Genomic DNA, 13,730 nt, shown 5'->3' with positions numbered 1-13,730 from the left:
TAAAATAAAAACCACTGACCTTTATTTGAGCATACACTAGGCATTGCTACACAGTATACTTGAAAATATCCCATTTAATTCTCATAACAACCTTTTAAGGTGGTGTTATTTTTCTGTCCATTTTTATAGATGAGGAAATTGCGATTTATAAAGATTAGGTAACTTTCTTAATGTCTCCCAGGTGGAAATGGAGAGATATCCCTGTGCTCTAGAGGAAGGGTCAATGCCTTAGTGTTTTCTATTGCTTAGAATACCAGAAACTGGGTAATTTATAAAGAAAAGGAAACTATTTCTTACAGTTATGGAGGCTGAGAAGTCCAGGGTTGAGAGGCCACATCTGGTGAGAGTCTTCTTGCTGGTGGGGACTCTCTGCAGAGTCCCGAAGTGGCTCAGGGCATCACATGGCAAAGGGGCTGAGTATGCCAGATCAGGTCTCTCTTCCTGTGTATTTTTGTTGGAGACAGGGTCTCACGCTGTCACCCAGGCTTGAGTACAGTGGCATGATCTCAGCTCACTGCAGCCTCAACTTCCTGGGCTCAAGTGGTCCTCCCACCTCAGCCTCCTGAGTAACTGAGACCACAAAAGTGTGTGACCACACCCAGCTAACATATGTATATGACGAGGTCTCAGGTCTCCCTATATTGCCCAGGCTAGTCTTGAACTCCTGGATTCAAGCGATCCTTCTGCCTTGACCACTCAAAGTGTTGGGATTATATGCATGAACCACTGTGCCCAGTCTCTTCCTCCTCTTAGAAAGCTACCAGACTCATTCCTGCAATAATCCATTAATCCATGAATGGATTAGGCAGAGCCCTCATGACCCAATCACCTCTTAAAAGCCATACCTCTCGGCCGGGCGCGGTGGCTCACGCCTGTAATCCCAGCACTTTGGGAGGCTGAGACGGGCAGATCACAAGGTCAGGAGATCGAGACCATCTCAGCTAACACGGTGAAACCCCGTCCCTACTAAACATACAAAAAATTAGCCGGGCGTGGTGGCGGGCGCCTGTAGTCCCAGCTACTTGGGAGGCTGAGGCAGGAGAATGGCGTGAACCAGGGAGGCGGAGCTTGCAGTGAGCCGAGATTGCGCCACTGCACTCCAGCCTGGGCAACAGAATGAGACTCCGTCTCAAAAAAAAAAAAAAAAAAAAAGCCGTACCTCTCAATACTGCCACGTTGGGAATTAAGTTTCACTATGAGTTTTGGAGGGAGCAAACATTCAAACCATTGTAGTCAGCAGACTTTTTCTATAAAGGGCTAGATAGTAAATATTTTAGTCTTTACAAGTCACACAGTCTCTGTCACAACTATTCAACTCTGCCATTATAACATCAAAGAAGCCATAGATAATACCATATCTATGTTCTAGTAAAACTTAATTTATAAAAACAGGTAGTTGGCCATAGTTAGCCAATTCCTGCTAGTACCCATCATAGTTTGGAAAGCCTTAATCATGCAGGAAATGTAGCTTATCATATTTTACTTTAACTGTTTTTGTTATAGTAGGATAATGGGAATAGAATTATTCCTAGGCAGGGATATAATTTAATCTCAGAGAAGCAGTCTTTCTAAAAGAGGCTGACTAGAAACAGCAGTTCATGTATACAATTTAACCACATTCTGCATAATTTATCTTTTTATTATAATTGCCCTCCAACAGAATGACCCTAGAATGAAAGTTTTTATTTACTCTCTGTCCTTAATACTTTCAACATAGCAGCCATTCAATAAATAATTGTTTAATAAATTAATGGCATACCCTCAAAATTCTAGTGATTGGGGAGTTGTATGAACATTTAGAGAAAAATGACCCATCTTATTTTATTTTTATTATTAATTAATTAATCAATTTATTTATTTTTGAGGCAGAGTTTTGCTCTGGTTGCCCAGGCTGGAGTGCAATGGCACGATCTCGGCTCACTGCAGCCTCCGCCTCCCGGGTTCAAGTGATTTTCCTGCCTCAGCCTCCTGAGTAGCTGGGACTACAGGCACCTGCTACCATGCCCAGCTAACTTTTGTATTTTTAGTAGAGACAGGGTTTCACCATGTTGGCCAGGGTGGTCTTGAACTCCTGACCTCAGGTGATCCACCCGCCTTGGCCTCCCAAAATGCTGGGATATTTCCACATTAGTTGAAATGTGGAAGCAGCATGTTTTAAAAACTCTGCTGTGATATTATAGCCAACCAGGCATTCTCCTTTGTTTCTTCTCACTCAGCAATCATTTACTGAATTTGCTTACTCTTTGTTTACTAGGTGGTGTTAGGTTCTGTGAACACAGGGAAGAATATGACATGGACCCTGTCTTCCTGGAAATTTTATGATCCTTTCTAACACAGTCACTGCTGTGCCTTACACTCTGCTTGTAGTCAGTCTCTTCCCATTCCTTTGCTCTTCTAAACTAGAACTTACTTGGGACTTGGGTATTGTTAATGGCTTTAAGACGTTTATCTTCTCCTACTTTATGATCATCATCAGTCATACTCATTGATTTATGGTTTTTATTTAAAAATCATTCATATATATAAATATAACCTGTTGGTTGAGAAAAACTTCAAATATCACTTAAATGTGTAAACTAAAAAGAAATAGTGACTTTGTGTCTGTGTGTAAGCATTTAGTTAGGTAATGGCAGAGCTGAAACCAGCATCAAGTTTATTTACTTCCAATTGGGGCTTTTTCCATTATACCATGCTGTTTTCAAGACTACTCTCCTTCTTCCACCATTGCTTTTTACCACCAGGTCTTGCTACAACCAGATACTTCATGGTAAATTTAGAAATTTATCAGCCTGGCATCTTAATCAAGATTAAGAGTCTTATGCCAAATCTTATGCAAAGGCGTAAGAATGATATAATGAACCCTGAGGACCTGGGGGGAAAGGTTGGGAGGGGGATGAAGGATAAAAAACTACATATGGGGCTGGGTGCGGTGGCTCACGCCTGTAATCCCATCACTTTGGGAGGCCGAGGCGGGTGGATCACAAGGTCAAGAGATTGAGACCATCCTGGCCAACATGATGAAACCCCGTCTCTACTAAAAATACAAAAATTAGCTGGGCGTGGTGGCGCATGCCTGTAGTCCCAGCTACTCTGGAGGCTGAGGCAGGAGAATTGCTTGAACCCGGGAGGCGGAGGTTGCAGTGAGACAAGATCATGCCACTGTACTCCAGCTTGGCAACAGGGTGAGACTCTGTCTCAAAAAAAAAGCAACAAAACCACATATGGGGTACAGTGTACAATGCTCAGGTGACAGGTGTTCCAAAATCCCAGAAATCACCAGTAAAAAAACTAATCCATATAACCAAAAACCACCTGTACCCCTAAAACTCTTGAAATAATTAAAAACAACAAAAAGATTAAGAGTCTACAGGGCTGTACAAGATAGCAGGGGGCTTCACAGGTTCTTTCTTCCTTTCCTTTCCCTTTCCCTTTCTCTTTGCCTTTCCCTTTCCCTTCCTTTCTTTTCTATCTATCTTTCCTTTTTTTTTTTTTAGATGCAGTCTCTTTTTTTTTTTTTTTTTTTTGAGTCAAAGTCTCGCTCTTGTCCCCTAGGCTGGAGTGCAATGGTGCGATCTCAGCTCACTGCAACCTCTGCCTTCCAGGTTCAAGGGATTCTCCTGCCTCAGTCTCCTGAGCAGCTCGGACTACAGGCGCATGCCACCACACCTGCCTAATTTTTGTATTTTTAATAGAGATGTGGTTTCACCATGTTGGCCAGGATGGTCTTGAACTCCTGACCTCAGGTGATCCGCACACCTCTGCCTCCTAAAGTGCGGGGATTACAGATGTAAGCCATCATGCCGCACCCCACAGGTTGTTTCTAATGCATGGGTAACTAACCTGATTTCTCTATATGAATTTATATTTGTGTCCTTTTCACTTGTTAAATAATTCTGTCTTGTTCTTTAGGTTCATGGGTGTATGTGTTCATCAAGGACAATTGCATGCACTTACAGAGGTAAGACATCAGTAAGTGTTGAAGTAACGTATTTGCCTTAGTTTCAGCATTTATAGTTCCATAGTAAGTGTTGCTTGCATATGTAAACAAAATGTATGTGCATTTATGTTTATGCAAAAATGGCAGTGTTAATAATGCTTTATTCTGTTGCCTGGGAACAATGGCAGTATTTCTTTATATATATATATATATATATATATACACACACACACACATACACTTTAAGTTCTGGGGTACATGTGCAGAATGGGCAGTATTTCTTAATGTCCTTCTATTCCCTCATAATACTTGGTGAATACTCTGACAATATGAGTGCTCAAGTATTAAAGTATTAAGTTAGCTCTTGCTGCCTAGATATGACTCCATCCTAAGCCAAGGGATGACAGCACTTGACTGCAAACTCTCTATGGCAACAAATTACCAGACCACCTGGTAATGTTTGCTGTCCTGATCTAGAATTCCACAGTCCCTGCTGTGGTTTCCTGGTTGGTCTTATTACTTGTTGGAATCAGTTTACATCTTCATTCTCGTTTCATTTCCAGCCTCTGCTAGGCGGAATATGTGATAGTCATTATTCATCCTCCGAGGATCAGAGAACTCTCTTTAGAGCCAATTCAGGTACCAAGTTATCAACTTCAGACCTTGCTTGGGTGCTCCTTGGAAACACAGATTCCTGGAATCTTCTAGGTTTAATAGGTTTGTATAGGGCCTATTACATCTATATTTTTAAAAGCTCCTCAGATTATTTCATGAGCATCTGGATTTGAGAATCTATGTTCTAGATTCTTTTCACATTCCTCCTTGAGAAGCAATTACCAAAGTACAAAGTGAAGAAACTTAGGAAGGAAAGTTGTTTAACAGAATTTGCAAGAGTGTTGGTTTTTTACTGGCTTGGTAACTGGTATTAGTCCTTAATAGCTTATGAAAGAGGGTCCCATGTGCCTCAGTCTCTCTCTTTTCTCAGTTACTGAAGGCACTAGAATGTGGAATGTGTGCAGCTATGCCCTGCCTCTTAAATGGAAAGCCAAAGAAGACAGAATGGTGAAGAGGTTAAGAGCATGGCCTCTGAAGTCTTGATTACATACGTTTGAATCTGTCTGTATCTCAAAGTTTCCATCTGTATAATGGGGATAATAATAATTAATAATACCTGCCCCAGGGAGTTTAGATAGAGAAGATGACCAAGAGCTGAGCCCTAGAATATTTGGGAGTCTGAGGTGAGAGGATTACCTAAGACCAGGATTTCGAGACCAGCCTGGGCAACATAGCAAGGCTCTGTCTCTACAAAAAAAAAAAAAAAAAAAAAAAAAAAAAAAAATTAATAATTAGCTGGATGTGATGGCATGTACCTGTAGTCCTATTTACTCAGGAGTCTGGGGCAGCAAGATTGCTTGAGCCCAGGAGTTTGAGGCTATAGTGAGCCATGATTGTGCCACTGCACTCCAGCCTGGGCAACAGAGTGAGACCCTGTCTCTAGATACATAGATAGATAGATAGATAGATAGATAGATAGATAGATAGACAGATAGATAGATAGATAGATAGATACGTACGTACATACATACATACATACATACATACATACATAGAGTGAGACCCTGTCGATAGATAGATAGATGAATGAATGAATGAAAGTCTGGGGAGAAGGACAGACTGAGAAGGAGCAGTTAGTGAGGTAGGTAGAAAACCAGAAGAACGTGCTGGCCTGTAATGAAAAGGAAAGAGTTTCAAGGAAGGAGTATTAATTGTGGCAAATGCTGTTGATATAATGTTGACCTCACAAGGATGTTGGGAGGATGAAATATAAAATACTTATTTAGTACAGTGCCTGGCATGTATAAATTATTTAATACATGTTAACTCTTTGAACAAAATAACAGTGACTAGTCCCTCTTCTGAACTCTGAATTGTTAATATTTTTCATTTTGTACTTAGTCCTATACCGCTGTTAGTGTCATTAAATTAGACTTTTTACTGAAGTATAACATATCAGAAAAAGTATACATATGAAAAGTACCACTCACAAAATTTTTACAAATGAACACACCCATAACCAGCACCCCAGATCAAGAAACATTTGCCATGTATTTTTTTTCTTGGAAGTGAGTCTATAAATTCTTCAGAGATAAAATTCTCCCCTTCCTTCTGTCTACCAGAGTTCTGACGCTAACAAGCATAAAAGTATTTGATGCATTCCCTGCATGTGTGATTGTTCTCTGAAATGTGAATTCATTGGAAGGGCTGGTGTGTTAATTTTGCCGACAGAGAAGAACATCCTTTAAAATCTGTGTTAAGTTGCATATTTTAAAGCAGGTTGTGGTGGAAATGACAGTAATGAGTGATCATAATGCAATATTCTCTTGGCCATGTTGTACTTAATCTGCTGCTTGTTAGCTTCTTTATAGCCATATAAAACATACAATGTGTACTTTATGGAAGAGTATTTATTGCCAGTCTTTCCAGCAGCATTAATGAGATTTTGACATAGCTTATGATATTAGTAATTTTTAATATGATGTTAATAGACTGGTAGTGATGAAGCCCAAATAGCCAAATGCTCTTGGTTATTTTTAGAAGGGATCAGCAAAGGCCTTGATGGCATAGGTCTTTCGAGACTTCTAGGTTTAATTGCCTTATAATTTGACTTGGCAGCACAACTATATGGTAAGGATAATAAAAAATAAATTATTAAAAATATCTAGCACAGTCCTTGAAACTTAGATGACATTCACCAAATACTTTTCAGTTGGTGGAATGCTTGTCCTCCAAAGTAATGTGAGTACCATTCTTCATTTCTCTTCACATTTATTTGTCAATAATTACAGTAGACAAGCATGGCACTCATTAATACCTATAAAACATTGACATTATTAGGAAGAATATTTCCCATATACATTAGTGATCTGGACTTTCCTGGGCTTGAACCATTTCCATGAGTCTTCTTTGTAATTGTAGACATTAATTGAACTTGGAACAGTCAGACACTTAGTTTTTATTTTTAAACTACCTGTAGTAATGATAGACTAAAGATTTTTTTTTTGGGGGGACGGAGTTTCACTCTTGTTGCCCAGGCTGGAGTGCAATGGCCCGATCTCAGCTCACTGCAATCCACCTCCCAGATTCAAGCAATTCTCCTGCCTCAGCCTCCTGAGTAGCTGGGATTACAGGCATGCGCCACCATGACCGGCTAATTTTGTATTTTTAGTAGAGACGGGGTTTCTCCATGTTGGTCAGGCTGGTCTTGAACTCCTGACCTCAGGTGATCCGCCTGCCTTGGCCTCCCAAAGTGCTGGGATTACAGGTGTGAGCCACCGCGCCCGGCCAGCTGACTCAAGTTTTTAAGCAAACTAGTATTTGTTAAAGTGAAAGCATAGTCTGGGCATGGTAGTTCACGCCTGTAATCCCAACACTTCCAGAGGCCAAGGTGGGCAGATTGCTTGAGCTCAGAAATTTGAGACCAGCCTGGGCAACATGGCAAAAGCCTGTCTCTACAAAAAATACAAAAATTAGTCAGGTGTGGTAGCATGCACCTGTAGTCCCAGCTATTGGAGAGGCTGAGGTAGGAGGATCACCTGAGCCCAGGAGGTTGAGGCTGCAGTGAGCCATACTTGCACTACTGTATTCCAGCCTTGGTGACAGAGCAAGACCCTGTTTCAAAAAATATATAGTGAAAACGGTTTGGTGAAAAGTCACATGAAACCTTTTAAATTTAATGAGTTGAAATATGAATCTGTATTGAGGCTGGGTGCAGTGGCTCATGCCTATAATCCCAACACTTTTAGGAGGTAGAGGCAGAAGGATTGCCTGAGGCCATGATTTTGAAACCAGCCTTGGCAACATAGTGAGACCCAGACTCTACAAAAAATTAAAAAAATCAGCCAGATGTGGTGATACACACCTACAGTCTCAGCTACTTGGGAGGCTGAGACAGGATGATTGCTTGAGCCCAGGAGGTTGAAGGTTGAGAATGCAATGAGCCATGATTGTACCACTGCACTTCAGCCTGAGCAACAGAGAGAGACCTCTTAAAAAAAAAAAAAAAAAAAAAAAAGAATAGGAATGTACCATAAGTATGTCTTTCATTCACAAGACCTAACCTTGTCTTTCACTTAGTCACAAGTATCAGGGAAGTGTAAATCTTTGTTTTTTTTTTAACAGAAAATATAATTCTGTGTATTGGTTAGCTGTTGCCCTCCAGCCACAAAACCTCAAAAGCATACAATAAACGTTTATTTCTCATACATTTCCAGAGTTAGCTGAACTGAGTGGGGCTAGATTTGGCAGTTGTGCTGATCTCAGGCTCACTCATGCATCTGCAGGTCAGCTGGTGGTCTGCTCTAGGCTGAAATTTGCTGGGAGAACTTTGCTCTGGCTCATCCTCCTTCTGGGGCCAGTGGGCTAGACTGGACTTGTCCTTTTTAAGATGATACCAGAATAGCAAGAATATGACAGTCCATTTGCACAACTGATTTTCATGACTCTCCTTATGTTCAGATTTGCTTGGCCAACATCCCATTGGACAAAGCAAGTCACATGCTTGAGTCCAGGGGTAGGAAGTATGCTCTGCCCTTATCAGGAATATGCCGCAAAGTTATGTGTCAAAAGGCACAGATTCAGTAGAAGGCGAAGAATTGGAACCTTTGACAATCAACCATGCCCTGTAAATATCCCAGTCAGCAGATCATAAGTATTTGTGTTTTCTGCCCCATTGGAGAGTAAAGAATTTCTCCCATTTCTTAAACCATAACAACTATTAGTTATTTAAACTCCCACTATGGGCAGAATGCTATGGTTGATACTGTATATTAACTATAATTCTCACAATGCTATAATCTTATTTCTTCCATTTTGTAGATGAGAAAACTAAAGCTTAGAGAAATTAAGTTACTTCCCCAAAGTAGGATTGCATCCAGGTTCATCTGACTTCAAAGTCTATTTCTATTACAACATGCTGTGCTTAATTGATTTTTATATTCCCCACGGTGCTAAGCACAAGATCTTATGTGTGTAGCATGCATAGTATTTGTAGAATTCAATTCTGACTCACTTTTTATGTATTCTGGGTTATTTGGAAAAGATACTTTCTTCCTGGTCATTGGGTGTATTAGAATGTGTTTGGGAGCAAGTAACAGAAAATAGTTAAATGGGCTTTAAACAACAAAAGGACTCATATAACTGGAATTTTAGCAGTTTATTAGATTAAGTATTGATATAATTCAATGGTTAAATTGACGCTGTCCAGAGACCTTATTCTTTCTCTTTGCTCTGTCTTTATGTTGTCAGTTTCATCCTAAAATAAAGATGTCTGTCACTCATAATCAAAAAGTAGCTGCCAAAAACTTACATGGTATATGTTTTCTCTTCTATAGCCAAGATGAGTGGGAGGTTGGGATGGAGAGGAGAGGAAGAAAGAGAGAAGAGAAAGAGATGCCTCTGGATAGATTGTATGTCATCTCAAAGCGCTTTTTCCTTTTAATATTGTTAAGAAAGGCACAGAGAAGGAAATACCGTCAAAATCAAGCAGTTTGGGAACCTGTTAGTGCAGAAACTCTCAGTGGCTAGAAGATTGGGGAACTGGGTAAGGTATATGGTTGTGGAGAGGGTTCACAAATGGCAGTACTCTCTGATCAGGAGAGTCAGCAATTGAATTGCTTGGTGAGCAGGATGTTTTGGGGGTCTCTCTTGCCTTTTCTGCCATGAAGAAAACTATCCAGCCAGGTGCAGTGGCTCATGCCTGTAATCCCAACACTTTGGGAGGCCGAGGCGGGTGGATCACCTGAGGCCAGGAGTTTGAGACCAGCCTGGCCAACATGGTGAAACTCCGTCTCTATAAAAAATACAAAAATTAGCCAGGCATGGGTGGCACAAGCCCATGGTCCCAGTTACTCCGGAGGCTGAGGCAGGAGAATCACTTGAACCTGGGAGGTGGAGGTTGCAGTGAGCCGAGATCATGCCACTACACTCTAGCCAACAGAGCTCTAGGCAACAGAGCGAGACTCTGCCTAAAAAAAAAATTTAAAAAAAAATAAACTATTCTTATTTTCTTCTGTGGCGATGAGAACCACTCAGCCAATTCTGCAGTTGCAGAATATTCCTTGGCCTAGTCGAGGTGATTCGGTCTTTTTACAACAGAGCCATCTCAGTCGAGCAGATGTTTGGTACTGAAAGAAATGCTTTTAGCTAAAGGCTATTGCAGAGAGTTTGTTATTCACATAGCTCTGATCCTCCTGTCACTCCCTATTCCCACCCAACCATACATCTTCTTTCTTTATTAAAGAGTATTAGTGACTTTGGAAATTTCTTGTTTATGCGGGTTGATATGTATTGCTTCTGAGTTGGTTTTGTCAGACTTATAAGAAGCCTTATATAATCAGACAGCTTACAATGAAACTCCATGGGTTCAGTGACCAAACTCATGCGTTATTTATAAAAATGAGCAAGCCAAGGCCATGTCCAGTGGCTTCACACCTGTGACCCCAGCACTTTGGGAGGTTGAGAGGCAGGAGGATTATATGAGGCCAGGCGTTCAAGACCAGCCTAGGCAGCATAGTGAGACCTTATCTCTACAAAAAAATTTAAAAATTAGCCAGGCATGATAGTTTGTGCCTGTGGTCCCAGCTACTCCTGCTGAGGCAGAAGGATTACTTGAGCCCAGGAGGGCAAGGCTTCAATGAGCTAGGATTCTGCCACTGCACCCCAGCCTGCACAACAAAGTGAGACCCCATCTCAAAGAAAGGAAAAGTGAGCAAGGCAGACCCTGATTCCAGTTTTTTTGGTGTGCTGTGATATGTGATATTGTTATTAGTTGTGCCTGCTTCTTATTTTTTTGTGTGTTTCAGTACAGAATATTTTCCTATCCTTATTTACCATGATAAAGATGTGAAGTTGCTTGGTGCCCTGCCTTGGGTTAACTTTGGCAGCAAAGGCATACCTATCTTTCAAGTTTGGGACTGGCAGCTGTTAACCACCACATGGTAGTTTAGAGACACACCAGAGGTACTAACAGTGATTGCATCTGTGATTCAGGTTTTCCTAAAAGGACAAGTGAGGGGGAAACGACAAAGATGTAAATTAGAAAATACACGGGAAGGTAGAGATTCACTTGATACACACCATTTTGAGTGAATCTACTATGGGCTAGGTACTTTGCTAGGCTTTAGGTTTAGGATAAAAAGACATCTGCTCCCATGATCTATTGTTACATAACAAGCTACCCCAAAACTTAGTGGCTTTCTAATTTTAGTTTGCTTGTGATTTTGTAGGTCAGGTATGCAGAAGGGCTTTCCTGGATCTTTGATCCATATGTGTCAGCTGGAGTGACTGAGCTGGCAAATCCATTTCCAAGATGGCTTCTTCATTTGCATATCTGGTGCCATGGTACTCCTTGGTTCTTCTCTTTTTCCACATGGTGTCTCATTCTTTAGATCATCTCCATATGGCTTAGGCTTCCCACAGCATGGTGATCTCAGGATAGTTAGACTGGTACAAACCACTCAAGTGGAAGCTGCAAGCCTTTTATGACCTAGCCTTGCAAGTTCCAGAATGTCCCTTAAGCTGCATTTTATTGGTCAAGCAAGTCACTAAGGCCATCTGTCAATGACCATCTTTAGTTCACTGGAGTGTCTTTCATGAACTCAATGGTTAATGGCTGGGATAGTGAGAAAATTCTTACTGTGCCCTTCCTTAGAAACTGTTTTTTAAAAATCTGTTATCCCATGCTGTTAACTCTCAGATCTCTCTGTATATTAATAGTTGTTACTCATTATAGTTCATTTTCTTTTTTTCCACTCAGTTATTTTGCTAGTGTTTGCAGTACAGCTTAGCTTGGTTACCTTCCCCAAACTGGCCATCCATTCCAACCTTATCATTTCATTTCTTTATTTTTTGAGATGGAGTCTTGCTCTGTCACCCAGGCTGGAGTGCAGTGGCACCATCTCAGCTCACTGCAACCTCCACCTCCCAGGTTCAAGAGATTCTCCTGCTTTAGCCTCCCAAGTGGCTGGGACTACAGGCGCACACCACCACACCCAGCTAATTTTTGTATTTTTAATAGAGACATGTTTTCACCATGTTGGCCATGCTGGTCTCAAACTCCTGACCTCGTGATCCGCCCACCTCGGCCTCCCAAAGTGTTGGAATTACAGGTGTGAGCCACTGTGCCCGGCCCTTATCATTATTAGAATCCTTGTTCTTGGCCGGGCACAGTGGCTCACACCTGTAATCCCAGCACTTTGGGAGGCCAAGGTGGGCAGATTACCTGAGGTCAGGAGTTCGAGACCAGCCTGGCCAACATGGTGAAACCCTGTCTCTACTAAAAATACAAAAATTAGCTGGGCATGGTGGCACATGCTTGTAATCCCAGCTACTCGGGAGGCTAAGGCAGGAGAATCACTTGAGCCTGGGAGGCAGAGGTGGCAGTGAGCCGGGATCGCACCACTGCACTCCAGCCTGGCAAACAGAGCAAGACTGTCTCAAAAAAAAAAAAAAAAAATCCTTGTTCTCTTATTAGAATCCTTTGTTCTTTGGGGTTAGTTTTGATTTTTTCTCATCACTTGAATTTAATCGGTCCGCCGTCTTTTCCTATTTTCTTCTTTGTGATATCTTTCTGATTATTTTTCTTTCTCTTCATTCCAAAGCCATAATATTATTTCATGCCTCAATTCCTACAAATACTTTTTTTTTTTCTTAAGAGACAAGGTCTTGCTGCTCTGTCACCTAAGATGGAATACAGTGGCACCATCATAGCTCACTGCAGCCTCAAACCCTTGGGCTCAAATGATCCTCCTGTCTCAGCCTCCCCATTAGCTGGAACTACAGGTGCATGCCACCACACCCAGCTAATTTTTACATTTTTTGTAGAGATGGAGTCTCACTATATCACCCAGGCTGGTCTCGAACTCCTGACCTTAAGGGATCCTCCCACCTGGGCCTCCCAGAGTGCTGGGATTACAGGTGTGAGCTATCACACCTGACCTGTTTTCTTCATTTTGACATACTACTATCTGAATAATCATCATCAAGCACACCTGATAATGTGATGCTTCTGTCTAAAAAATTATGTTTCCTATTCTAAATTCTCTCTAATCTCGTTTGATAATACGAATCCCTCCCTTAGTTACATGGGTCTTTTTGCTCTCTTCTATACATTCTTGCTTTAGGTGTCCCTTCCAGTACTAGGAATGTCCTTATCTCTCTTCTCTCCAAGCTGTGTCAAATCCCAGGTTCTCTAATGGAACTAAGTCTCCTAGATAGAGCTTATAATAATACTCTGTGTGGCTGGGCCCATAGTATATGCTTAGTGTGTGTTTGTAGTTGATGGTCTAGTGTAGACCCAACTCTAAGAAAGCTGAATTAGCCCTAGCGGAAAGAGCCAGAAATCAAAAATAGTGTGAAGGCCAGGCACAGTGGCTCACGCCTGTAATCCTAGCACTTTGGGAGGCCAAGGCAGATGGATAACTTGAGGTCAGGAGTACAAGACCAGCCTGGCCAACATGGTGAAACCCTGTCTCTACTAAAAAAAAAAAAAAAATTAGCCAGACGTGGTGGCGGGGGCCTGTAATCCCAGCTACTTGAGAGGCTGAGGCAGGAGAATTGCTTCATCCCTGGAGGCAGAGGCTACAAAGCCGAAATCACACCACTATGCTCTATCCTGGGTGACAGAGTGAGACTCTGTCTCAAAAAAAAAAAAAAAAAAAAAAGAGAGAGAAAGAAATGTCACATCTCAAATCCTTTCATAATTAGAAGTTTATTTCACTTAAACTTCTATGTGCAA

The 13,730-nt window shown here is 41.4% G+C and overlaps 1 protein-coding gene across 2 annotated transcripts in view; it reads left to right on the top strand.

Annotated features, from left to right (window-relative positions):
* Positions 1-13,730, top strand: part of TESK2 (testis associated actin remodelling kinase 2) — a 147,281-nt gene that overhangs the window by 101,294 nt on the left and 32,257 nt on the right. For both annotated transcript variants that reach the window (NM_001320800.2, NM_007170.3), the window contains one exon: positions 3,910-3,958. In NM_001320800.2, coding sequence (NP_001307729.1) covers positions 3,910-3,958 — 49 coding nt within the window. The remainder of the gene's footprint in view (positions 1-3,909; positions 3,959-13,730) is intronic.

This window comes from Homo sapiens, chromosome 1, assembly GCF_000001405.40.
Source record: "Homo sapiens chromosome 1, GRCh38.p14 Primary Assembly".
In the NCBI taxonomy this organism is placed as follows: Eukaryota; Metazoa; Chordata; class Mammalia; order Primates; family Hominidae; genus Homo; species Homo sapiens.
This window is presented reverse-complemented; position numbering and strand designations above follow the sequence as displayed.